At 47.4% G+C, this 27067-nt stretch overlaps 1 protein-coding gene and 1 long non-coding RNA gene across 3 annotated transcripts in view, besides 2 other annotated features; both read right to left on the bottom strand.

The window, feature by feature from the left end:
• DLGAP2 (DLG associated protein 2) overlaps positions 1–27067 on the bottom strand; it is a 970849-nt gene that overhangs the window by 578484 nt on the left and 365298 nt on the right. The window lies entirely within an intron of this gene.
• On the bottom strand, positions 5845–24385 carry LOC124900249 (uncharacterized). The gene is made up of 2 exons (XR_007060781.1): positions 21064–24385; positions 5845–20375 (listed from the first exon to the last, which is right to left on the bottom strand). It is a non-coding gene; the product is annotated as an uncharacterized LOC124900249 (long non-coding RNA).
• Positions 20862–21778: an enhancer, noted in NCBI's record as "H3K27ac-H3K4me1 hESC enhancer chr8:1058215-1059131 (GRCh37/hg19 assembly coordinates)". NCBI's record gives its function as "activates a minimal SCP1, AML or CMV promoter by ChIP-STARR-seq in naive and primed H9 embryonic stem cells {active_cell/tissue: H9 hESC(naive and primed)}" and the evidence as "EXISTENCE:reporter gene assay evidence [ECO:0000049][PMID:30033119]".
• Positions 25055–25556: an enhancer, noted in NCBI's record as "H3K4me1 hESC enhancer chr8:1054437-1054938 (GRCh37/hg19 assembly coordinates)". NCBI's record gives its function as "activates a minimal SCP1, AML or CMV promoter by ChIP-STARR-seq in primed H9 embryonic stem cells {active_cell/tissue: H9 hESC(primed)}" and the evidence as "EXISTENCE:reporter gene assay evidence [ECO:0000049][PMID:30033119]".

Here is a 27067-nt window from a genome sequence, read left to right as displayed (position 1 = left end):
ATTAGAATTAGAACTGCCTGTCCTTACTCACTTTACAAATGTGCACCTGGGGTTACAAGGCTGAATGGATGCTGAATTCACAGTCAGCGTTCCCAGCCATGAATCCAGGCTTTACAAATGTGGTCCTGGGGGTCCAAGGCCCACGGTTGCTGACTGCAGAGTCAGCGCTCCCAGACATGAATCCAGGCTGCTCCTCAGTGGGCCTCTGCCACAAGGACTGATTCTTTCCTATCGTAAAACGTAGGATTCAGGTTAACATGTGAAAAGGTACAACGTGGGAGAATGGAACATGCCAGCACCAACTCGAACTGTATCCACAGTTACAAGAAAACTAAGCAAAAATGAAACCAAGACAGCAGGAGTCACCTACGAGGCAACACTGGCAAACTCAGGCTTCCCGCAAGGCTCGTGGGAGCAGGTGCCCCTCTCGAAATAATATCAACGTCTCCTCCCAGCATTTTACAAAACTTCATTAGGATTATAGCTGCAAATGTGAGTGATAAGACTTGCTTCAATTCCAGAAGAGTATAAAATCACTTTCAATTTTTAATCAGTTTTTACCTCTTTAAGTAAATTTTTTTTTTTTTTTTTGAGATGGAGTCTCACTCTGTCTCCCGGCTGGAGTGCAGTGGCGCAATCTCAGCTGGCTACAACCTCTGCCTCCCGGGTCCAAACAATTCCCCTGCCTCAGCCTCCCGAGCAGCTGGGAACACAGGCACGTGCCACCTTGCCTGGCTAATTTTTTATATTTACTAGAGACGGGTTTTCACCATGTTGGCCAGGATGGTCTCAAACTCCTGACCTTGTGATCCACCCACCTTGGCCTCCCACAGTGCTGGGATTACAGGTGTGAGCCACGGCACCTGGCCCTAAGTAAGATTTAAAATGTGATTCCAATGTCCATGTCTGTACACAAAAGCGACAGAGGACCATGAAGTGGAATTGTGAGTTTGTTTTGATTTCTTGTTACTGAAAACACATGACTATCAGTGGGCAAAGAATTGTAAGTTCCTGTGGGGAGCGTCAGCTTGCCAGTGTCCTGAGACACACACACCGGCCACCCTGCCTCATGGAGCTTCTGATGCTTCCATCCAGGTTAACTCATGCTGTACCTTCAGGGCTTATTTCCATCAGCCAAAAACTAGTAAAGAACAGACTTCCAACACTTTACAATGAGCTTTTAATCTCTTAACAGAGACTGATTTGCATGTTGGATATTTTAGGACCCTCATAAAAAGTCACTAAGTTCTATGCTTCAATATTTCTGACACACGCTCGTAAGTATATAAAATACCAAGTAGCTAAATCAATCTCATATCTCTTAACACCAGGGACAGGTTCTGGGAAACGTGTTGTTGGCCAATCTGGTCATGGTGGGAACATCAGAATGTGTTATACAAACCCGGCGATTGAGCCTGCCGCACACCCAGGCTGTGTGGTGCAGCTTGTTGCTTCTGGGCTACACACCCACACAGCATGTGACCGCGCTGAGTCCTGCAGGCAGCTGGAACACAGTGGCGAGGGTCTGTACATCTAAGCCCAGCTAAACATAGAAAAACTGCAGTAAGGACTGGGCTGTATAATTCCATGGGACCACTGTTCCCTGCAGGCCCTCACAGAACACAACACCGGGAGCAGGTCCTCACGGAACACAACACCGGGGGCAGGTCCTCACCGAACACAACACCAGGAGCAGGTCCTCATGGAACACAACACCGGGAGCAGGTCCTCACCGAACACAACACCGGGAGCAGGTCCTCACCGAACACAACATGGGGAGCAGGTCCTCACCGAACACAACACGGGGAGCAGGTCCTCACGGAACACAACACCGGGAGCAGGTCCTCACCGAACACAACACGGGGAGCAGGTCCTCACGGAACACAACACGGGGAGCAGGTCCTCATGGAACACAACACCGGGATATGGTGCACAACCGTATTGAAATGTGGGGCTGCTCTTTTCTAAAAAGGCAAACATGTAAACCTAAAAAGCCTGGTTTACTTTGTTTTACATTTAAATTGGGAAAATGAGAATCTATTTTAGAACATTTTGCGTGGCTTAATCATTATTTGAAAGATCCGGAATAGGAAAGTGCATCTTTAGACTCTTAGTTCAGACTCTTTATACCAAGCCTCGAATGACTAATCCACTTAACCCTTATGAGGCCACATCAAAACAACCTCCAGCCTTTCTACTTCACATCCAGTTACAACAGAACGGGCGTAGTTAACCGTCCTCCTCTGGGCCTTAGTGTTTTCTTGAAAGCTGCAGTTTCCAAGGTTTTCTGTTAATGCCGGAACACTCTCATCTCTCCCCTCCAGGGTTCTGCACAGGGACAGGGAAAGGAGGGGCCTGGGGCTGCCCTCAGGCTGTCCCCTCCTCTCAGTGCTTGGCCTCCAGGATGAGGCCACTTCAGCAATGTCCATCGGATGCAGGAGGGTCAGCCAAGTGGTCTGAATGCCACTGCCCCAAATGATGAGCCTGGGAGCCACAGCACCCTCCGGGGAAAAGCAACGCGAGGCTCTAACGTGGCCACGAAGGGGCCTCCACACACGAAGGGGCCTCCACACACGAAGGGACCTCTACACGTGAATGGGCCTCCATATGCAGGGCCACCAGACCTGGGGCCCATGGCTCTCAGCCTGCCCGTTCCATGACCCCTCATGGTGGCTGTAGCACTCAGGAAGAGAATGGGGGTTCACCCGACCTGGAGTCACCCCAATGAGCCCAGCTACAAAAATCTTCAATTCCTCAAAGTGTGGCCACAGCAACCCTGCAAGAGGCGGCTCCAGGAACACAAGCAGAAGGACCGTTTAAGAGCTGGGTTGGGGACAGGGTGGGGTCCCTCATGAGCTCCAGGAACACAAGCAGAAGGACCGTTTAAGAGCTGTGCTGGGACAGGGTGGGGGTCCCTCATGAGCTCCAGGAACACAAGCAGATGGACCGTTTAAGAGCTGGGCTGGGGACAGGGTGGGCATCCCTCATGAGCTCCAGGAACACAAGCAGAAGGACAGTTTAAGAGCTGGGCTGGGGACAAGGTTGGGGGTCCCTCATAAGGCCGGCACAAGCGAGGGCCCTGCCTCAGGAGGAGCTGGCTGGAGGGCAGTCCCGTTTCCCCAGGGACAATCCAGTGAGGCCCCTCATCTGCACCACAATGGGGTGGTGCCTTCCAGAGCCCGTGGGAGTCTCCAGACCCACGTCTGGTCTCCTGGACCCCTCAAGAGTCTCTGCACATCTTTCCTTCCAGAGACAACAAATGTTCTTTCCAAAAGACATTCTGACTAACATGACCCTGAGACTCTTAATCAAAGCCCTCAGCAGCAGAGCACCGCCCACAGCGGGAGTCTAAGCCTCTGATCACCCCGAGACCCTACTGAAAGCCCTCAGCAGCACAGCACCTCCCACAGCAGGAGTCTAAGCCTCTGATCTCACCACCAGGATCTCCCAGCCTGATCTCTGCCTGCCTCCTGTCCACGCACAGCACGATGAGAGATCCCAGCCCCTCACCTGCCTTGCCTCCCTCCTCATCTGCCTGTGTCTCTTCTCTCCCCTGCCTCCCTCCTCATCTGCCTGTGTCTCTTCTCTCCCCTGCCTCCCTCCTCATCTGCCTGTGTCTCTTCTCTCCCCTGCCTCCCTCCTCATCTGCCTGTGTCTCTTCTTCTCTGTTCTGTTTCTGGCTACATGGAAATATATTTTTATATATGGAGGAAGCTTTCAAGGACCTACCTACTTAAAAAAATCAACCTATTTTTGAGAATAAAGGGTACAGGGCTGTGAAAATCCATGGCTCTGCCAAAGCCTCGCAGGTGGAGCAGGTGGCCCATCTGCATAAATGCAGAATCCACGGCACCACTGCCTCACGTATTCACCGCAGGGGCCATCAGACACTGGGATTTTAGTCATTGATTTCCCGCGTGTTCGAAGACATGTGGGAGAAGACCATGGCAGGGGATACACAAACAGTTTTACAAATTATCAACTTCCAGAGCCGGAAGTGTCCATGGAGATGAATGTGTTATTTACAGGAAAGGGCGGATGGGGCGCCAGGGATTCTCAATGCCAATGCCAAGCTCGCTGGGTCCTTCTTCAACTCCCACAGTCCTCCCTGCCTTTCTGCCTCCCCGCATTTCCACCTCCCCACCACCTCAGCCCCACTAACTCCAGGCTTAAGAGCCTAGCTGTAGAGCGGCCTTCCCGCCTCTGCAATGTTTTGCTTTCAAATTCCCAAACACTGGTTTCAGTAACTTATACACAAGACAACGTAAAACCTTGCGAGTCTGAAATGCACAAATAAATCAAAGCTCATTAGTAAGAAAACATCCATTTGTGATGGGTATTTTTATGTTATTTATCTAATAAAACATAAAAACATAAATCACCTGGCTTTCATAATGTTAGATTTGAATCAGATTAGATCGCAAGAAGAAATAGCCCCTATTTTTAAGAGTTGAGTTGTTTTCATCTGCATGATATAATTCAAAATAAGTGGTTATATGGCATTCAAACACAATCTAGGAATATTTATTATAAATATAGTACCTACAATTGGTTGAAAAACAAGCATCACGCTATCATAGGAAATTCCATTTCACATAATGAAAGAAACTCATTTTTTTCCATAAAAAAAATTTGATCAAGATCCAGGTATTTGTCCGGGATGCAGTAGAATTTCGATTCCAAAGCTCTAACCATAACGTTCTGGAGGCTGGAAGTACCAGGTGGACAATGACAATGAAATATCTTACAGGGAGATTTTTACAACCCTGACGGTGTAACAGATTATGTGTGGAGGAAGCTGTAAGTATCTCATTTTGTCAATGCAAGGCCATGCATCCTAGCGGGGAAATATTTAAAGTCAATCTTGGGAAAATGGTCCGAGTCTGCCAGAGAAGGCAGAGGTCTTATGGAATGCAAAGACATGACAGGATTCAAAGAACTAGAAATACAGACCCTGAACGAGGAGGTGCTGGACAGTCAGAGACGAGGGAGACGATGCTTCCTCCGTGTGGGGGCAGAGCAGGTGCTGGACAGTCAGCGATGAGGGGGACGATGCCTCCTCGGTATAGGGGCAGAGCCTTCTGAGGGCAGCCTCAGCAACTGGAATGGGAATCATGCCTGAAACCCAGAGCCTGGGGTTCCGGGCCCCACTCAGCCATCCTGCAGACTGGCTTCTACCCACTAAAACGAGATGATTTGATGGGAAAAATGAAAACACCACACGGGGGCTGTGTGTGGCATTTCAGATGACAGCAATGACACTGATGGTTATTATCTGTATTTCAAAAGATAGTGAAAATCATATGTTTGCTTAGGATCAAAAACACAGATTAGCTAAAATGCAGGTTTCCTGTTTTCAGCTGCTTGGCTTTCTTAAGCAGCTTAGTGCAGGAACACAGCTAGATTATAAAATGGTGAGAATATTCAATTCACAATTACATATCATGAATGGTAGAAAACAAACAGAAAAGTATATTTGATGAGTAATAAAAATAGAAACATAGGAAAACATTAGCCAAGTCATGGTGGCTAAATGTAGCTTACTTAAGTGGCCCAGCTTCTCAAACATACAGTCTGAGGAGAAGCCCTTGGCAGCAACGTTCTGGGCCCTGGACTCAGCTCTGAGGTCCCTGAGAGAGGAGTCTGGGCCACAGGTAACCCTTCTGGAAGTGGAAACCCTTCTGGAAGCAGAAACCCTGGAGCCGCTTCCAGGCTCTTCTCTTTGGCGAGTTCCTTAGCCCATGGTCCTCTCCCTGCTGACTCAGTTTCTGTCTTCAGAATGGAAACCAAGGACTATGTTCTATGTATGCTATGAGAATTGAATCAGTCAATACACAGACAGCATTTAGATTAGCACCTGACATTTTTATTGGCGTTAAACTCTGGGGAAACGATATGCATGAGAAACATTCACGGTGCCAGGACAGTGCTGTTTGGTCTGCATACAGGGAAAATGAAGGGCTGAATTTTTTTTAAGAATACCACGCTCTCACTTCCTCCAAAAACAGGCAAGGAAAAGAAGGTCACTGCCTGCTCTGGGGAGCAACCTGAATGCATGCTGTCAATTAGACCATGTTCTTTGTTTCAGAAGAAAGAAAATTCTTCTGAAAAATAAAATAATTTTTAGGCAAACAGGAAAGAATACTGAGGAAAAGGTGAGGTTAATCCTTGACATTATTAATTAATATTGAAAAATGTACAAAGTGCTGAAGTTTTATTCCTAAAGGGAGTCAGGAAGGTGGTGAGAGAAAGGCAGGGAGAGACACCTAGGAACTGGAGGAGGAGAAAAAGAGGTTGTACATAGAGAAAAAAAGAGAAAAAGAGGTTGTGCATAGAACTATTTCTTTTTTTCCCTTAGGAATAAAGGAAAGATAAATTACACATTATTTGAATGGCCTTCTCAGGTTTATAATGTATCACTTTTCCAGGTTTTAGACCAAACATCTGACACTGTAATGATTTTTCCTTTTAGAGTCTCCAAAGCTAACAGGCATCTTTCCATGATATGTGTGCTTGGAAAATACTATGAGGAACCTCCTTGTTTACTGGAAAACAATGGGCATGGACTCACTAGGTCCTGGTGTCTCATTCTGACCGGGTGGAGGCTGTACCTACTAAGCCTCAGGTGTTACTTGAGCAAATTTAAATATTATCACCCGCCTCATGGGAACTGAGAAGTGAAACATAAAAGAACCACCATGTGAGTTTATAGTAATAAAAAACATTTTTCATTATTCTTTGCTTTACATTTTAGAATGCAAAAGCCATTAGTAACTAAAATTTCTATAAAAGTTGATTAATGGGGAAGCCTTTTGGTTCATAATTCACAAAATTGTCAAAGGCGATCATTCCAAGCTTCTGAGCGAAACTTATTCTCTGAAATGTGAGATATTTTGACAGAAAGATTTGCATAGTTATTTTCAAATACATTTGAATATTTAGTGCCCCCAACCCAGTTTGTATAAAAGATTTGAAGGCATAGAATTATGCTGAGTTTAACTGTATCTCCTGATCACCCTCTATCTGGCGGACCTAAGCCAAAGCTCCTGTTGTGTGAGGTTCTTAAGAGCTGGTATCACACTCTTCCCAGAGCTCCTATGATTCCATTTAGAGCCTAACAAATCTTCACCATCAAATACGAGGGGAGCTACTGGTCAGGAGAAATGAGAGAAATGGTATTTTCAAGACTGAATCAAACTTAAAAAGACAGCTTCCAGAAAAGAAAAAAAAAAGAAAAAAGAAGATGAAGGGAGGGAGGAAATGAGAGGGAAAGAGGGAGGAAGAAAGGGAGTATAGCTTCTACTTTATCAACTAAAAAATAATTCTTCAAAGAGAAGTATCAGTTCTACCTTGTTATAAAAACCAATATGTATTTTTGAGAGACCTACACATAGTAAGCAGGAAAAATGTACATAAATCACCAAAGGGAAACAAGTTTACTATGACAAAACAGTTTATGATAAAAGAAAAAGGATTTTCTTAAATGCGATTCAACCTATTGTGGGATCAAAAATGTGATCTTTCTCTACGTTCCCCTCAGCTCTGGATGGCAGTAACAGAGCTCCCAGGAATCCTCCTCAGCTGCACATTTAAACAGCCCATTGGTAAAGATCAGCCCATCCTAGGGAAAGCCATTTAGAATCTCATGTGTCACCAGTGACTCAGAGGTTCTTTCAGTCCTGACCAGAGGATCCAACTGGCAAAACCTGTGCGTGTCATGAAAACTCTGTCTCCATGGACAGAAGAGGAGAAACAGGGTCACCCAGTGATGTCCCATTTCATTCTTCCATGAAATGAGAGTCTGCTGTGGAACCGAATGATCCCTAAAGCCATAAACAAGACCGGAACCTGATGGTAACCGTAGTAACACCAGTCCACATCTGGCTCAAAGTTCACCTAAGGGAGTGCAATCTCTGGCTCAATGGCTTGGGGCATTACCACGAGGGGCAAATGCACTCAATCCCTAGGAAGGTCTGTCTCCCATTAAATGAAATTCTGTATGGGTTGGGGCAACACCATGAGAAAGAAGCACTCAATACCTAGGAGGGTCTGTCTCCCATTAAATGAAATTCTGAGCAAATGGCCAAAATAGGACAGATGCTCATGGATGCTAAAGGAACAAGGATAGAAGGTTATAAGTTCTGAAGAGACAAGGATGTGTTGTCATGAATTCTAAAGGAATGAGGATGAGAGGCCACGGGTTCTAAGGAGACAAGGATGGGTGGTCATGGGTTCAGGAAAGATGAAGACGGGTGGTTGTGGGTTCTAAAGGGACAAGGATGGGTGGTCATGGGTTCAGGAAAGATGAGGTTGGGTGGTCAGGGGTTCTGAAGACATGAGGATGGGTGATCAGGGGTTCTGAAGGGATGAAGATGGGTAGTCATGGGTTCTGAAGGAAAGAGGATGGGAGGTCATGGGTTCTAATGGGAAGAAGATGGGTGGTCATGAGTTCTGAAGGAACAAGGATAGGTGGTAATGGATTCTGGAGGAACAAGGATGGGAGGTCATGGGTTCTAGAGAGATGAGGATGGGAGGTCATGTGTTCTGAAGGGATGAGGATGGGTGGTCAGGGGTTCTGAAGGGAAGAGGATGGGTGGTCAGGGTTTCTAAAGGGATAAGGATGGCAGGTCATGGGTTCTAACTGGGCGAGGATGGGTGGTCATGGGTTCTGAAGGGACGAGGATGGGTGGCCATGGCTTCTAACTGGACGAGGATGGGAGGTCATGGGTTCTGAAGGGACGAGGATGGGTGTTCATGGGTTCTAACTGGACAAGGATGGGAGGTCATGGGTTCCAAAGGGGAGGACGGGTGGTCATGGGATCTAACTGGATGAGGATGGGTGGTCATGGCTTCTAACTGGACGAGGATGGGAGGTCATGGGGTCTGAAGGAATGAGGATGGGTGATCAGGGGTTCTAAAGGGATAAGGATGGGAGGTCATGGGTTCTGAAGGGACAAGGATGCGTGGCCAGGGGTTCTAAAGGGATAAGGATGGGAGGTCTTGGGTTCTGAAGGGACGAGGATGGGTGGTCAGGGTTTCTAAAGGGATAAGGATGGCAGGTCATGGGTTCTAACTGGATGAGGATGGGAGGTCATGGGATCTGAAGGAATGACGATGGGTGGTCACGGGTTCTGAAGGGACAAGGATGGGTGGTCATGGGTTCTAACTGGACGAGGATGGGAGACGAGGGGTTCTGAAGGGACTAGGATGGGACTAGAATGACTAGTTTCTAAATAAATTAGGATGGGTGTTCATGGGTTCTGCAAAGTCTAGAATGGGCGGTAACGGATTCTAAAGATACCAGGATAGGCATCATGGCATCCAAAGGACTAGGGTTTATAGTCATGAGTTCTGAAGGAATGAGGATGGGTGGTCATGGGTCCTAATGGGCAAGGATGGGTGGTCATGGGTCCTAATGGACAAGGATGGGTGGTCATCGGTTCTGAGGGGATGAAGATGGGCAGCTGGGTAGCTGTGGGTTCCGAAGGATGGGTGGCTGTGGGCTATGAAAGTAGCAGAAAGGTGGTTATGGTTTCTGAAGGGTCTAGAATGGACAGTCATGGATTCTTAAGATACCAGCATAGCTGTCATGGTATCTGAAGGACTAGGGTTAGTGTTCACAAATTCTGAAGGGGTGCCCCTTCGTATTGTTCTCATTCGGACGCATGTTGGCTGGAACGAAGATGCCTAATGAGTGTGATTTGAGCTTCTCAGGCCTTGGCCCTGACTGCTGCTTGACCCCTCCGTGTCTGGGTGTGAGCCACAGAAGCAGCTGCATGGAGGATGGCTCTCTTCCTCCTCCCATAAATGAAGGGGCTGAACCCTTAGCCTAACTCTCAGTAGGGTTACGTCCACAGACCCAACGGTGGTGAAATGGGACCTGCAAAGATGTTTGAATTTCCAACTTAGCTAAGATGTAGTAGGGATTTTCCTGTTTTTGTTATAAGTTGCTGCCTGACACAGGGTTTTGCCAGCAGACTCATTTTTCAGCCCAGCCCTAAAAGTGCTGAGTCCCACTTTTCATCTTAGCCATTTCCTATAGCAGCCTTCCAGAAAGGGTCTTCCCAACTACAAGGAAACCTTTCTAGTGAGAAGTCCCTAAAGCAGAATAAGCTAGGGTGCTGGACCCCATTCACTGTATTTTATTTAAAATCATGGTGCCAACCACTCTCCTAAGTCAAGGTAGGGTCAACTGTGACTCTCACAACTTGTACCAACTCTAGAGGCAGCTGTGGTCCAACTTCAAGGTGAAATTCCCCATTGGATATAAAAAGTTTGACAGTCCCTGGGGATACTTAAATTCAAAGTTGAGTGGCGAAGCCTCTCACACATGCCATCACTTGAAGCTCAGCTGTTCACATGAGGAAACAGCGTGTGTGCTGTGGTGGGACCAGTTCCAGGCACGGCACCCAGAAGCCTCAGGCTGCTCAGCATCTCTCAGCTACTGCCCCTGCTACCCCGATCTGCTGAAGAAGAGCAGCAGGGCTGAACTGCGAGAAGCAATGGGCCTTGTGCTCATTTATGAACTGATGAGTACAGAAGTTAAGCAATGTTCTTGGTGTCATGGAATAAAACCAGCACTCACATGACGCACTGCAGTAGATGCACAGTCAGCCTCCCATGTAAGAGCATGGGGAGGCAACTGGAGCTTCTTTCTAGCTAAACACGCTGGACACTAAAATATTTTGCAGATGAATTAACAAGCTTATATTATGTCAAAGGCTGAAATAAAAGTAGTCCTACAAAAGATTCCAAACCTACTTAAAATTTACGTCTTATTCTGCAAATTGCATGCCTTAAGTGCGGGAAGGATGTGGCATTTATGCCATCTCAGTGCAAAATAATATGGGCCAAACTGCAAATCAGTACTTAAATGGGAAAAAATCACTTATCAATTGAAAATAGAATCGGTTATAAAGTAGTAGGAAAATAGTTAATGGTAAAGTTGTCTATTAAGTATTTATATGAAGTAATTATACAGTCACTTGAATGGTTCTCCACAGTTATGCTTAAATAAAATGATATTGAACATCAAACGATAAATTATTCTATGTAAGCATAATGCTATGTCTCACAAAATAACACTCACCTAGTCCCATAAATTTAAACTTAACTATAGGTGTTGGTGTCATTTCGAGGAAACAAATTATTTTGAAAAATTGTATCATTCCAGGAAGTACAGCCATGAAGAACTCACCCAAGGTCGTTTTCCATCATTTAATTTAGTTCAGATTCAAAAACGGTCCCACCACATAGTACATGTATATTTATCTCCAAGTTCTTTCGGTCCTCATAGCAGAGTGTCATGATCTTGAAGGTTGCTCTAAGCACTGACAAAATGCCCTCAGTACAGGGGCCGTCTGCAGTTCCTCCTAGACTTCTGTTTGGGAGGCAGAATTCCATTTCTACTGATTAAAAAGAAAGCAGCAGCAGCAGCAGCAGCCCCATTCATTTCTATTCGCACAGTTTAGCTTCTTTTCCTGATGCTGCTTTTGGATTATAATGAAGACATTTGTCCCAGTGCAGAAGTTTTGCCCTGAAAATAAATTAGGCTTTTCTTGGCAGCTAAAATGAGCACTTTACACCAGGTGGGCTCTTTTCACTGTCCTCAGTCACGTAAGGAACTGAACAAAGACAATGTAATGCAGTTTCGAAAGTTTCTCAGTCTCTGCTCACACACTACGGGGTCAAGAGCTGCAGATGCTGGAATCAGCACCAGAGTGAAGCTGAAGAAGTTCCCCCGAGCTCACATCCTACTTACATAAGGGACTTCAGAATCTCCAGACATGGCCTATTTAAAGTGTAATGAATGCATTTTAGAAAAAGCCATTAAAGCACTTTCTGAACTGCGGTTAATTTCCCCACTCCGCCCGCTCCTCTGTCAACTGACATGCAATGCTTTTGGGAGCTGAGGTACAGCATTCAGGTCAAAACCACTTAAGACCAAATGAATCTATACAACTTTTGAAAGCATATCAATATTAACGAATTTGCTTTATAATTTCATTGGAACTATTCCATCTGGAAAACGGTATCTACTCATTAACTTTTATTTTAAAATGCTTTTTCCATGTTTGAATTGCTGATACTTTTGTCTGATTTTCTTAAAGGAAAAAAAAAAACTTTCAAAAGCCTAACTGTGAACCAGTGCTGCCCACTGTGAAAGGGGGAGGCTCTGAGCCCAAGTGAGTGTCAAGAATGCGCAGGTGATTCTGTGTGCCTGCTCTCCTGGGGGAGCCCCCTGGGGGTGTCTTACAAAGAGTCCTGGTCTGGAGAACAGCCGCCTCCCCCTCCTCTCTACTGCCCTCCCCTCACTCCGGCAACCACAGGGTAAGAATGAAAAGGCCATCTCAGTTCAGACTTGCTCTACTCAGCGTCCATCCCACCCTCAGTCCTGATTTCTAAGCATCTTCCCACCATGAGCCTGTTTCTTCTCTCTGAATCTGACGGTCAGGAATGAAAAGGCCGTCTTGGTTCAGGCTTGTCCTACACAGCGTCCACCCCACCCTCAGTCCTCATTTCTAAGCATCTTCCCACCGTGAGCCTGTTTCTTCTCTGTGAATCTGACACTTGATCACCCATAACCCACTACACATTTCTAACCTTTGGCTTCAATTTCTTGGCTCAAAGAAGACCGTGCATCGTCACCGCATCCCCAGCGTGGCGTCCCCAGTGTGGCACCTCTGAGTGGTGGGATCTGTCTGCACACCTGCCCAGGGTTGTGCCATCAGCCTCAGAGAGGGCACAGCCCCGAGGCACTAGCTCGGCACTGTGCTTTGTCCACAGGCTCACCTCAAGAAGACAGGTCAAACAGACGGTGTTGGGTTTTCCAAGACAGGTCAAAGAGACGGTGTTGGGTTTTCCAAAACCTCTTCTTGATGCTGGGTCCCAAGGAGATGAAATTGCTGTAGCAAATTTTAAAAACCCATAAAGCTTTGGGATCCTGCAGAGAAGCACAGGGTTCATCTGAGGACTGCACATCGGGTTTATTTTTCAGCTTTCTTTTGGCAGAAGCGATCCTGGGATCTCCCTTCCGCAGAGGAAGCCAGTAGCTGTTGGCTGCGGAAGAGGTTTTGCTTTGGTTTCTGTCTTCCCATCAACTGTGTTCAGACTCAGAGTCAACTAATTTTTATTCAGTTCTTCGTGTTCCAGATACAGTAATGAATATTCTCTTTTTTTTTCTCTTTTTTTTGAGACAGGGTTTTGCCCTGTCACCTAGGCTGGAGTGCAGTGGCACAATCACAGCTCACTGTAGCCTTGACCTCCTGAACTCAGGCAATCCTTCCACCTCTGAGAGCCTCCTGAGTTAGCTGGGACTACAGGCATGCCACCACGTGTGGCTAACTGTTTTTATTTTTTTGTAGAGATGGGGTTTTGCCAAGTTGCCCAGGCTGGTCTCAAATGCCTGGGGTCAGGCAATTCACTCACATTGGCCTCCCTAAGTGCAGGGATTGTAATTACTGGATATTTTCAAATATATTATCTGCCCCATTCTCAATGTGAGGTGAATATTGTCACCCCCACTTTACAGATAAAGAAACTGAAGAAATAAGAAAACCCTCAATGCCTCTTGTAAGGTTATCTAGCACCAAATTGTAGAATTTAAATCCAAACCCAGGTTTTCTGACCCCAAGTCTTCCGGGCATCAACCGCTCACTCTTCGTCCAGGCTGTGGCTGAGACACAGCTGGTGCTTTGGAGGGTGGTCGGTAACCCTTAGTCACTTGACAATACAGAAAACCCAAGAGCATGTCAGGACCCAGATGAACGGGGAGGGCCTGCTCCCTTCTCACACGGAAGGCCAGTGCGGGTGTCCCCAGCTGACGCCTGCGCACCCCATGGGGATGGGATTGCGTACCGCATCAAGGCCAAGATCTCCAAAACCACAGACACCCACCAGGCCCACACCCCCAGCTTTCCAAGAACCCCTGGAAAGTCCTCCCAAGTGACTGTCACTGGCCACGTCTGACGGAGTGAATGGCTCCCACGGTGCTGTCTGCTGGGATCGTTTCCTGGGCACTGATGTCTATGAGTGATGCTCTCATGCCTTCTAGAAGATTCCAGGCCCATTATGTCCCATCACTGAGCAAAGGACAACAACGTTCCATACACCTGGCACAGTCCCCTGTGTGTGGCAGGGATAAATGACTGACTAGAAGAAGAGCCCAAATGAGATCATCTCAACAAATTCGAAAACTGTCATTTGTGCCTTAAAATGAGTGTGGCTGACCGCTGATGTGAATTCTCATGCCAAAGCACCAGCTGTAACTCTACATAGCCAGTGGTCTCAGCACTGGGGATCCCTGGCAGCACAGACACTTCACAGCTACACCTCCGTCCTCTGAATTGTTTGATTTTACCACTGCCTACAAGAAGGATCCCTAAAGATGCCACCACTGTATTTAGATCATTTAAATTTCTACAGCATCTATGGTGTGGTAGGCACTGTCTTAGGCACTTTACATACACAAACTCAGAATCTTCACAATATTTTTATAAAGTAGTTATTACTACTCCAATTTTCAGATGAAAAGTTATTCCCCGTGGTTAAGAAACATGCCCAGTAAAGGGTTCAATTCAACAAGAAGGCCTAACTATTCTAAATATATATGCATCCAACACAGGAGCACCCAGATTCATAAAGCAGGGCTTAGAGACCTTCAAAGAGAAAAAGACTCCCACACAATAATAGTGGAAGACGTCAACATTCCACTGACAGTGTTAGACAGATCACTGAGAGAGAATTAATGAAGATATTCAGGATCTGAACTCCACATTGGACCAAATGCATATGACAGACCTCTATAGAACACTCTACCCCAAAACAACAGAATGCACATTCTTCTTATTGCCACATGGCACACACTCTAAAACAGACCACATAATTGAACATAATCCTCAGGCAAATGCTAAAGAACTGAAACCATGCCAAATACAATCTTGGACCACAGCACAATAAAAGTAGAAGTTAAGACTCAGAAAATCACTCAAAACCATGAAATTACATGGAAATTACACAACATCCTCCTGAATGACTTTGGGTAAATAATGAAATTAAGGCAGAAATCAAGAAGTTCTTTGAAACTGATAAGAACAAAGAAAGAACATACCAGAATCTCTGGGACACAGCTAAGGCAGTGTTAACAGGAAAATTCGTAGCACTAAATGCCACATCAAAAAGTTGGAAAGATCTCAAATTAACTACCTAACATCACAATTAAAAGAATTGGAGAAGCAAGAACAAATCAACTCCAAAGCTAGCAGAAGACAAGAAATAACCAAAATCAGAGCTGAAGAAAATCAAGACACGAAAAACCATTGAAAAAAATCAATGAATCTAGGAGTTCATTTTTTGAAAAAAAAAATTAGTAAGATAGGCTGCTAGCTGGAATAATAAAGAAGAAAAGAGAGGAGGCCCAAATAAATACAATTAGAAATGACAAAGAGAATGTTACCACTGACCCCACAGAAATAAAAATAACCACCAAAAACTACTATGAACACCTCTATGCACACAATCTAGAAAACCTAGAAGAGATGGATAAATTCCTGGACACTTACACCCTCCCAAGACTGAACCAGGAAGAAGCTGATTCCTTGAGCAGACCAATAACAAGCTCTGAAATTGAATCAGTAATGAATAGTTTATCAACCAAAAAAAAGCCCAGGACAGATGAATTTACAGCTGAACTCTACCAGATGTATAAAGCAGAGCTGGTACTATTTCTACTGAACCTATTAAAAAAAACTGAAAAGGAGGGACTCCTCCCCAACTCATTCTATGAGGCCAGCGTCATCCTAATACCAAAACCTGGCAGAGACACAACAAAAAAAGAAAACTTCAGGCCAATATCCTTGATGAACATCGATGAAAAAAATCCTCAGCAAAATTCTTGCAAACCAAATCCAACAGCATATCAAAAAGCTAATCCACCACAATCAAGTAGGCTTCATCTCCTGGATGCAAGGTTGGTTCAACATACACAAATCAATCAATGTGATTCATCACATAAACAGAACTAAAGACAAAAACCATATGATTGTCTCAATAGATGCAGAAAAGGCTTTTAATAAAATCCAATACCTCTTCATGTTAAAAATTCTCAATATACTAGGTATTGAAGGAACATACCTCAAAATATTAAGAGCCATCTATGACATCCCCACAGCCAGCATCATACTGCATAGGTAAAAGCTGGAAGAATTCCCCTTGAAAACTAGCACAAGACAAGGACGCCGACTCTCACTAGTCCCATTCAACATAGTATTGGAAGTTCTGGCCAGGGCAATCAGGCAATAGAAAAAATAAAGGGCATCCAAGCAGAAAGAGAGGAAGTCAAAGTACCCCTGTTTGTAGATGACAAGATTCTATATCTAGAAAACCCCAGTCTTGGCTCAAAAGCTCTCTCAGCTGATAAACAACTTAACCAGAGTTGCAGGATACAAAATCAATGTACAAAAATCACTAGCATTCTTACACACCAAAAACAGCCAAGCTGAGAGCTAAATCAGGAAGGTAATTACATTCACAACTGCCACAAAAAGAATAAAATACCTAGGAATGCAGCTGACAAGGGAGGTTAAAGATCTCTTCAATGAGAATTACCAAATGCTCCTCAAAGAAATCTGAGAATGCACAAATGGAAAAATATTCCAGGCTCATGGATAGAAAGCATCAACTTAATTAAAATGGCCATACTGCCCAAAGCAATTTATAGATTCATTGCTATTCCTATCAAAATACCAATGACACTCTTTACAGAACTAGAAAAAAACTATTGTAAAATTCATATGGAACCAAAAAAAAGCCCAAATATCCAAGGCCATCATAAGCAAAAAGAACAAAGCTGGAGGCATCATATTATCCAACTTTGAATGATACTACAGGGCTACAGTAACAAACAGCATGACAGTGGTACAAAAACAGACACACAGACCAATGGAACCGAATAGACAGCCCAAAAATAAGGTTACACACCTGCAACCATCTGATCTTAGACAAAGCTGACAAAAATAATTAATGGGGAAAAGACTCCCTAGTCAACAAAGGGTGCTGGGATAACCGGCTAGTCATACGTAGAAGATTGAAGCTGGACCCCTTCCTTATGCCATGTACAAAAAGCAACTCTAGATGGATTAAAGACTTAAATGTAAAACCCAAAATTATAAAAACCCTGGGAGACAACCTAGGCAATATCATCCTGAATGAGCAAAGATTTCATGATTCATGCAATTTCTGCAACAAAAGGGGAAATTGACAAATGGGATCCAATTAAACTTAAGAACCTCTGTAGAGCAAAAGAAACTATCATCAGAGCGAACAGACAAACTACTAGAATGGGAGAAAATATTTGCAAACTACGCATCTGACAAAGGTCTCATATCCAGTATCTATAAGGAACTTAAACAAATTTACAAGAGAAAAACAACCCTATTAAAAAGTGGGCAAAGGACGCCCGGGCGCGGTGGCTCACGCCTGCAATCCCAGCACTTTGTAAGGCTGAGGCAGGTGAATCATGAGGTGAGGAGATCGAGACCATCCTGGCTAACATGGTGAAACCATGTCTCTAATAAAAATACAAAAAATTAGCCGGGTGTAGTGGTGGATGCCTGTAGTCCCAGCTAATCGGGAGGCTGAGTCAGGAGTATGGCATGAACCGGGGAGGCGGAGCTTGCAGTGAGCCAAGATCACACCACTGCACTTCAGCCTGGGCAACAGAGCAAAACTCTGTCTCAAAAAAAAAAAAAAAAAAAAATGGGCAAAGGACATGAACACACTTTTTAAAAGAAGACATACATGTGGCCAAGAAGCATATGAAAAAACTTAAATATCATTTATCATTAGAGAAATGCAAAGCAAAACCCCAATGAGATATCATCACACACCAGTCAGAATGGCCATCATTAAAAAGTCAAAAAATAACGGATGCTGGTGAGGTTGTGGAGAAAAAGGAACACTTATACACTGTCGGTGGGAGTGTAAAGTAGTTCAACCCCTGTGGAAAGCAGTGTGTGGTGATTCCTCAAAGAGTTACAAGCAGAACTGCCATTCAACCCAGCAATTCTATTAGCGGGTATATATCCAGAGGAATATAAATCATTCTACCATAAAGACACATGCACGTGAATGCTCACTGCAGCACTATTCACAAAAGCAAAGACATGGAATCAACTTAAATGCCCAGCAATGACAGACTGAATATAGAGAATGTGGTACATCTATACCATGGAATACTATACAGCCATAAAAAGAATAAGACCCATGACCTCTGCAGGAACATGGATGGAGCTGGAGGCCATTATCTTTAGCAAACTAACCCAGGAAGAGAAAAACAAATACTGCATGTTCTCACTTACAAGTGGGATCTAAATAATGAGAACACATGGACACACAGAGGGGAAGAACACACTCTGGGGTCTATCGGAGGGTGGCATATGGGAGCGGGGAGGGGACCATGAAATATAACTATTGAGTAGCGGGCTTAATTAAACCTGGGTGATGAAATAACCTATACAATACATCTCTGTGACATGAGTTAACCTAAGTAAGAAGCCTTCACATGTACCGCGGAACCAAAAATAAAAGTTAAAAAAGAAAAAAAAAAGAAACACGCCCAAGGTCACACAGAAAATGGGGACTGGAACGTGAACCCAGGGAGTCTGGCCTGAAAATCCACAGCCTTCAGCACACACAGTGCTGGGTCTTCCGGGAGCTGAGGGAAGACGATTTCTGCCATCACTCTGGGAGCGCCAACAGGAAACTAGGCAAGTCGGACACTAAGCCACCTCTCTCCATGTTTTCTTTGTATTTAATTTATTTTCTGTAGCTTGGCCATCTTTGCATTTCCAGCCCTGCCATCAGTGATGTTCTGGGCTTGGTAAGGCGGAGGAAGGCCCGGGCAGAAAGCAGCCCCGGAGTCGGGCACTGTGGCGTGCAGGTGGCACACGGGTGTGGAGCATGTGTTCCAGCAAGCACAAGGAGAGGCTGCTCAAACCCACGTGTGACCTTCGGCTGGCAGATGCATCTGACTTACCCAGCCAAGGAACCAACCCTCACACTCCCTGACCCCAAACCCCCAAAAGCACCATCCACAGGGAAGGGCCCCACAGACAGGGGTAGCTGAGCCCTGCACCAGGCACAGAGGGTGTGTGGGGTCCCGGGGGTCAGGGCTGTGCAGGGTGAATATAGAAAGCTGTATGTGAGAGAGAGGGTCTGTAAAAACAGTGCCACTGCAGGGCTGCGGGACACTCAATGTCTCTCAAAAAAAAAAAAAAAAAAGGCTATAAATCTTCCCTGAAAATGGAAAGCAGTTACTTGCAGATGTTTGGGTTTCTCATTGTTTTCCCCTAATTTCAGGGACAGTATGGCACTGCTGGATCTCTCACATGCCAGATGCAGACACACTGAAGACCCATGCACACTTCACAGGCACGTGCACACCTCACCCACCCTATGCACACCTCACAGACCCAGCACACTTCACAGGCACGTGCACACATCACAGACCGAGCACATGTCACAGACCCATGCACACCCCACAGACCCAGCACGTGTCACAGACCCATGCACACCTCTCAGACCCATGCACACCTCACAGATCCAGCATACTCCATAAGCACATGCACACATCACAGACCCAGACCCAGCACATGTCACAGACCCGTGCACACCTCACAGACCCAGCACATGTCACAGACCCGTGCACACCTCACAGATCCAGCACATGTCACAGACCCGTGCACACCTCACAGATCCAGCACACGTCACAGACCCATGCACACCTCACAGATCCAGCACATGTCACAGACCCATGCACACCTCACAGACCCGTGCACACCTCACAGATACAGTACACATCACAGGCACGTGCACACCTCACAGACCCATGCACACCTCACAGACCCGTGCACACCTCACAGACCTGTGCACACATCACAGACCCAGCACACTTCATAGGCACGTGCACACCTCACAGACCCAGCACATGTCACAGACCCATGCACACCTCACAGACCCGTACACACCTCACAGACCCAGCACGTCACAGACCTATGCACACCTCACAGATCCAGCACACTTCATAGGCACGTGCACACCTCACAGACCCATGCACACCTCACAGACCCGTGCACACCTCACAGACCTGTGCACACATCACAGACCCAGCACACTTCATAGGCACGTGCACACCTCACAGACCCGTGCACACCTCACAGACCCAGCACATGTCACAGACCCATGCACACCTCACAGACCCGTACACACCTCACAGACCCAGCACGTCACAGACCTATGCACACCTCACAGATCCAGCACACTTCATAGGCACGTGCACACCTCACAGACCCATGCACACCTCACAGACCCGTGCACACCTCACAGACCTGTGCACACATCACAGACCCAGCACACTTCATAGGCACGTGCACACCTCACAGACCCGTGCACACCTCACAGACCCAGCACATGTCACAGACCCATGCACACCTCACAGACCCGTACACACCTCACAGACCCAGCACGTCACAGACCTATGCACACCTCACAGATCCAGCACACTTCATAGGCACGTGCACACCTCACAGACCCATGCACACCTCACAGACCCGTGCACACCTCACAGATCCAGCACACTTCATAGGCACGTGCACACCTCACAGACCCATGCACACCTCACAGACCCGTGCACACCTCACAGATCCAGCACACTTCATAGGCACGTGCACACCTCACAGACCCATGCACACCTCACAGACCCGTGCACACCTCACAGATCCAGCACACTTCATAGGCACGTGCACACCTCACAGACCCATGCACACCTCACAGACCCGTGCACACCTCACAGATCCAGCACACCTCATAGGCACGTGCACACCTCACAGACCCGTGCACACCTCACAGACCCGTGCACACCTCACAGACCCAGCACACTTCATAGGCACATGCACACCTCATAGACACATTCACACCTCACAGACCCAGCACACTTCATAGGCATGTGCACACCTCACAGACCCGTACACACCTCACAGACCCAGCACGTCACAGACCTATGCACACCTCACAGATCCAGCACACTTCATAGGCACGTGCACACCTCACAGACCCATGCACATCTCACAGACCCGTGCACACCTCACAGACCCAGCACACTTCATAGGCACATGCACACCTCATAGACACATTCACACCTCACAGACCCAGCACACTTCATAGGCACGTGCACACCTCACAGACCCAGCACACTTCATAGGCACGTGCACACATTATAGGCACGTGCACACCTCACAGACCCATGCACACCTCACAGACCCGTGCACACCTCACAGACCCAGCACACTTCATAGGCACGTGCACACATCATAGGCACGTGCACACCTCACAGACCCATGCACATCTCACAGACCCGTGCACACCTCACAGACCCAGCACACTTCATAGGCACATGCACACCTCATAGACACATTCACACCTCACAGACCCAGCACACGTCACAGGCACGTGCACACTTCACAGACCCAGCGCACATCACAGGCACGTGCACTCACTCACATCTCACAGCATCATCTTACATGACGGCTTCAATCACAGGCCGCCCTGCAACGTCAAACAAGCATGAAGGCTGCTCCCAGGGTTTCGTTTGTTCTATTAATGCTGAAAGTGGTTAACTTTCAGAAATTGACTGCACTGTCTTCTTTTCATTTCCCCATAGATTGGGGAAACATTCAGCACATACTGAGTTTGGAAACCATTCTCCAGAAAGCCTCCAAATGCATCTGGACAGGAAGGACAGTGACAGCCAATTCATTTCCCATCAACCTTCCTATCCTTTCTTCTTACCTAAGATCTCCACTTCTGCGCAGCGTCCAGTCCATCCTTTCACATGGTTGGAAAAACAAGCTGAAATTAGGACCATTTTTTCAAAAAAGCAACAATAAAAAGAAAACACGCAAGTTGGTTTTCTGCCCCTCTGGAAACTCAGGCTCAACTACGACTATTCTCTATTTGCTTCAGGCGCTTCAGGAAGGAAAGCTGAGTCCACAACCCAGGGTTACGTTCTGTGCACATCCTGGTCTGTCTGCCATCTCGTGAGCTCCCTCTCGTGCTCCCCGAGCTATAGACATTTGTCAGCTTAGGGTGGTTCGGTGTCAGGAAGGCTCCTGCCAAATGCAACATGGGTGTGGAAACACAGCATAGGATGGGCCGTAACTCACAGAGGGGGATGGAGAACAGAGTCCCTGGCATAATAAATGTGACGAATGGCAAATACTATGTGTGCTTTACAAAAACAGCTCTGCTGGGACAGAGCAGGGAAGAGCAGGGGAAATAAAGCCTCAGGAAGCCCTTCCAGGCACACGTCACACAGAAAGCCCATTCTCCTAGGATTCTCGATAGTCAGCTGCCTCCGTGTTTCCACCCTGGAATTCCGCTGGAAAATAACAGCACACGAGCTTCCCACGCGAGGGGCCCTGGCTCTCCCTGTGAAGAGCTGTGGCTTTTTCTCAGGCCAAATGAGACCCACACAGGACAAGGATCTACCTGGTGCACAGACGCTTCCTTTGGACGCCTCTGGAAGCCTTCGCTGACCTCTGTGTGAGTGGATCTGAGGCCTAGGCAGGCCCGGGTGCGGGGGCTCAGCAACAGCAAGGGGTCTGTGCCAGCCCAGCCTCCCAGCCCTGGAGTGGTGATGAGTATCTAGAAAGCACTCAGTCACCCTCACCTCCAGCCTCTCTGTGAGCTATTGTCTCCATTTTACAGATGAGAAAACCAAGTCTTGGAGCAAAGTCACAGAACCAGTGCACTGCAAAGCCTCTGCTCTCTCCACTTTGTGGTGCTTTAAGTACCCCCACTGATTTTTATTTTGATGCGTGTGTGATACCGCCCGCAGGTGAGCAACTCACACAAAAGTCACATTTTGTTAGAATGGGAAATGCATTGTCAGTACACTCACTGCTGCCTGCTAGATGCTGTATACAGGTGCGGTTTAATAGACTCTCTCACTCTGCTTATCTGGCAAGACTCTTCCCAGAAGAAAATACGTCTGAGATGTTGAAGCAATCCTGCTCCTAGAACCCTTAGAGTCTTATCCTCTACAGAGTCCAAATGGTTCTATTCTCATTTGATAATTTGCTTTTGAACACAGTTCATCACAGGTGTCACTCACAAGTAAGTGACAAGCACCTCACCCTCCTAGAATGGCTCCCTTCAATAGAAAACCCTCCTAGAATGGCTCCCTTCAATAGAAAACCCTCCTAGAATGGCTCTCTTCAATAGAAAACCCTCCTAGAATGGCCTCCTTCAGTAGAAAACCCTCCTAGAATGGCTCCCTTCAATAGAAAACCATCCTAGAATGGCTCCCTTCAATAGAAAACCCTCCTAGAATGGCTTCCTTCAGCAGAAAACCCTCCTAGAATGGCCCCCTTCAGTAGAAAACCCTCCTAGAATGGCTCCCTTCAATAGAAAACCCTCCTAGAATGGCCTCCTTCAGTAGAAAACCGTCCTAGAATGGCTCCCTTCAATAGAAAACCCTCCTTGAATGGCCTCCTTCAGTAGAAAACCGTCCTAGAGTGGCTCCCTTCAATAGAAAACCCTCCTAGAATGGCTCCCCTCAATAGAAAACCCTCCTAGAATGGCTCCCCTCAATAGAAAACCCTACTGGAATGGCTCCCCCTCAATAGAAAACCCTTCTAGAATGGCCTCCTTCAGTAGAAAACCCTCCTAGAATGCCCTCCTTCAATAGAAAACCCTCCTAGAATGGTTCCCTTCAATACAAAATCCTCCTAGAATGGCTCCCTTCAGTAGAAAACCTCCTAGAATGGCCTCCTTCAATAGAAAACCCTCCTAGAATGGCTCCCCTCAATAGAAAACCCTCCTGGAATGGCTCCCTTCAATACAAAACCCTCCTAGAATGGCTCCCCTCAATAGAAAACCCTCCTGGAATGGCTCCCTTCAATACAAAATCCTCCTAGAATGGCTCCCTTCAGTAGAAAACCTCCTAGAATGGCCTCCTTCAATAGAAAACCCTCCTAGAATGGTTCCCTTCAATAGAAAACACTCCTAGAATGGCCTCCTTCAATAGAAAACCCTCCTAGAATGGCCCCCCTTCAATAGAAAACCCTCCTAGAATGGTCCCCCTCAGTAGAAAACCCTCCTAGAATGGCCCCCTTCAGTAGAAAACCCTCCTAGAATGGCTCCTCTCAGTAGAAAACCCTCCTAGAATGACCCCCTTCAGTAGAAAACCCTCCTAGAATGGCCCCCTTAAGTAGAAAACCCTCTTAGAACGGCCCCCTTCAGTAGAAAACCATCCTAGAATGGCCCCCTTCAGTAGAAAACCCTCCTAGAATGGCTCCCTTCAGTAAAAAAAAAAAAAACCCTAGAATGGCTCCCTTCAATAGAAAACCCTCCTAGAATGGCTCCCTTCAGTAGATAGTGCACCGGCAGGAAGCTCCTACCTTGTCACTCAGGCACAGACCCCCGCTCAGCATGGCTACCCCCTCCCTGCATCTCCCACCATCAGAGAAACACGGACCAGAACCATGTTAGGGTGACTGTTCTCATCAAAGGACAAAAGTCACAGGTGCTGGTGAGAATGCGGGGAACCTGTTCCCAGCACTATCTCCTCCTTCAGGCAGAACAAGGTTAATCCCCACAACATGAGACCCCTACAGTTCCACAGCCCTAACTAATCACAACTGTGGTAGAGTCTTCACTTTCAGAATACTTTTCATTTTCAGGCACCACGGTTGTAATTTTTAAGAACTTTTTCTCTGTAGAATGGATCACATATGAAAAGGTGGCGTTAAGAAGGTAAATCAATGACACATCATCACTCCGAAATCTCAGGATAAAGTATGAGCCTGTACACTGGGATTCGGGGCACCCGTGGGCCTCCTTCAACACATCCTCATGTCATGAGACCGCACCTTTCCGGCTTCCTGCCTGGTTCTCCCAGGTGGACCATCAGGTGTGGCACCTGCACGGCTGGCCGCTGCCGACCACTGCTCCTCCTCTGCTCCAGGGCGTCTGGCGAGTCGAGGTAGGCGAGCACGAGATGGCAGAGATTTTCTCCTCTGCTAAGAAGGAAGCTGCCGGTGCTCTTCAGAGGCCCTGCAGATGGAGGAAGCACACTCCACTTCCTGCTCTCTGGTGAGGGATGCAACCTAATTAAGGGTAATTAACCCAACAGCAGGTGCGAGTGGTCCCGGGGCTGCCTCGCTGACAGGCCTCGGGCACAGGAGCAAACTGGGGAAGGAGGTGGCAGCCCTGGGCCCCGGGACCCCAACCCCTCAGTGCAGCCCACCAGCCCAGGGAGCGACAGCTTCTTCCTCTGCCAAGCGGGGTTGCAGGCGGCGATTTCCTGGAGCAGCCCAAGGATTAAATGAGACAGAGTCAGCAAACGCCTCGGCCAGGCTAGAAACCATTCGGGCCTCTGTTATTGATCGTGTTCAGGATCAATTAAGTCAAGAGTTCAAGTCCCTCTGAAGATGCTCGTGGTTTTACACGCCCACCCCTAAGGCATCTGCTCTGGCCCACACGTGCCGTGACTTCTTGTCACCAAAGGGATTTCCGTAACATGACTGTGCTGGTCCTGTGGCTGGAACCCTCTCCCAGGCTCTCTTTACATGGCTGGCATCAACCCTCCCTCCACTATTTGGTGATGTAACATGGCTGTGCTGATCCTGCGGCTGGAACCCACTCCTGAGCTCTTTTTACTGGGCTGGCGTCAACCCTCCCTCCACTATCCAGTGCACGCCCCTCTCCAGCCACCTTGTCTGAGGCTCCACCGTGGCCGGGGCTGGATGCTGTTCTTGCTCCTGAATCATCCATCACCAGCAACCCCTCACCCTAACACGTGGTACCCCCATGGCTCCCTCTGCCTTGGCATGAAGGAAACGTGCACACATCTCGCTGTGGTGATTCATGCGTGAAGACGAGCCGGCCGAGCAATCCTGTGTCCCACAAGCAAGCGCTTTGTGTTCTTGTGATGCCACCTGATGCAGGGGCCCAGAAAGGGTTTGTTGTTAGAAGATTCCCACAGCCAGGTCCATCACTGGCATCCTCACCAAAGGCCAACTCAACAGTGGCAGATGCAGCCCCAACATGGGTGCGGGGACCCCTCGAACTGATTTCCAATAAACAACCACTTGCACACTCCTGAATACAGCAGACACCTGCCAGTCATCACCGTCAACCAAGGCCCCGCCAGTCATCACCGTCAACCAAGGCCCCGCCAGTCATCACCGTCAACCAAGGCCCCGCCAGTCATCACCGTCAACCAAGGCCCCGCCAGTCATCACCGTCAACCAAGGCCCCGCCAGTCATCACCGTCAACCAAGGCCCCGCCAGTCATCACCGTCAACCAAGGCCCCGCCAGTCATCACCGTCAACCAAGGCCCCGCCAGTCATCACCGTCAACCAAGGCCCCGCCAGTCATCACCGTCAACCAAGGCCCCGCCAGTCATCACCGTCAACCAAGGCCCCGCCAGTCATCACCGTCAACCAAGGCCCCGCCAGTCATCAACGTTAACCAAGGCCCCGCCAGTCATCACCGTTAACCAAAGCCCTGCCAGTCATCACCGTTAAACAAGGCCCTGCCAGTCGTCACCGTTAACCAAGTCCCCGTCAGTCATCACCGTTAACCAAGGCCCTGCCAGTCATCACCGTTAACCAAGGCCATACGACTCTGAGAAGCCCTGAAAGTTTCAGCATGGTGGGTCCACATGAATCCAACAGAGCCTGGAAGTCTCCAAACACCCCCAGACGACGCCCAGGGCAGCCAGCATGTGATACACACACAGGGCAGATAGGCCACCGGGACTCACGGCCACCTCCGTTCCCTTCTTACCTCCACCAGAGTCAGACTCCAGAGACTCAGAAAGACCCCGGAAAACCTCAGAGACCCCCAGAAAGTTACGAAGACCCCGGAAAACCACAGAGACTCCAGAGACTCATAGGGAACCACAGAGACTCCAGAGACTCATAGGGAACCACAGACTCACGAAGACCCCAGAATCTCATGAAGACCCCGGAAAACCACAGAGACCCCAGAGACTCATAGGGACCC

Source organism: Homo sapiens, chromosome 8, assembly GCF_000001405.40.
Source record: "Homo sapiens chromosome 8, GRCh38.p14 Primary Assembly".
In the NCBI taxonomy this organism is placed as follows: domain Eukaryota; kingdom Metazoa; phylum Chordata; class Mammalia; order Primates; family Hominidae; genus Homo; species Homo sapiens.
Note: the sequence above shows the minus strand (reverse complement) of the source record. Positions and strands in the feature narration are given on the sequence as shown.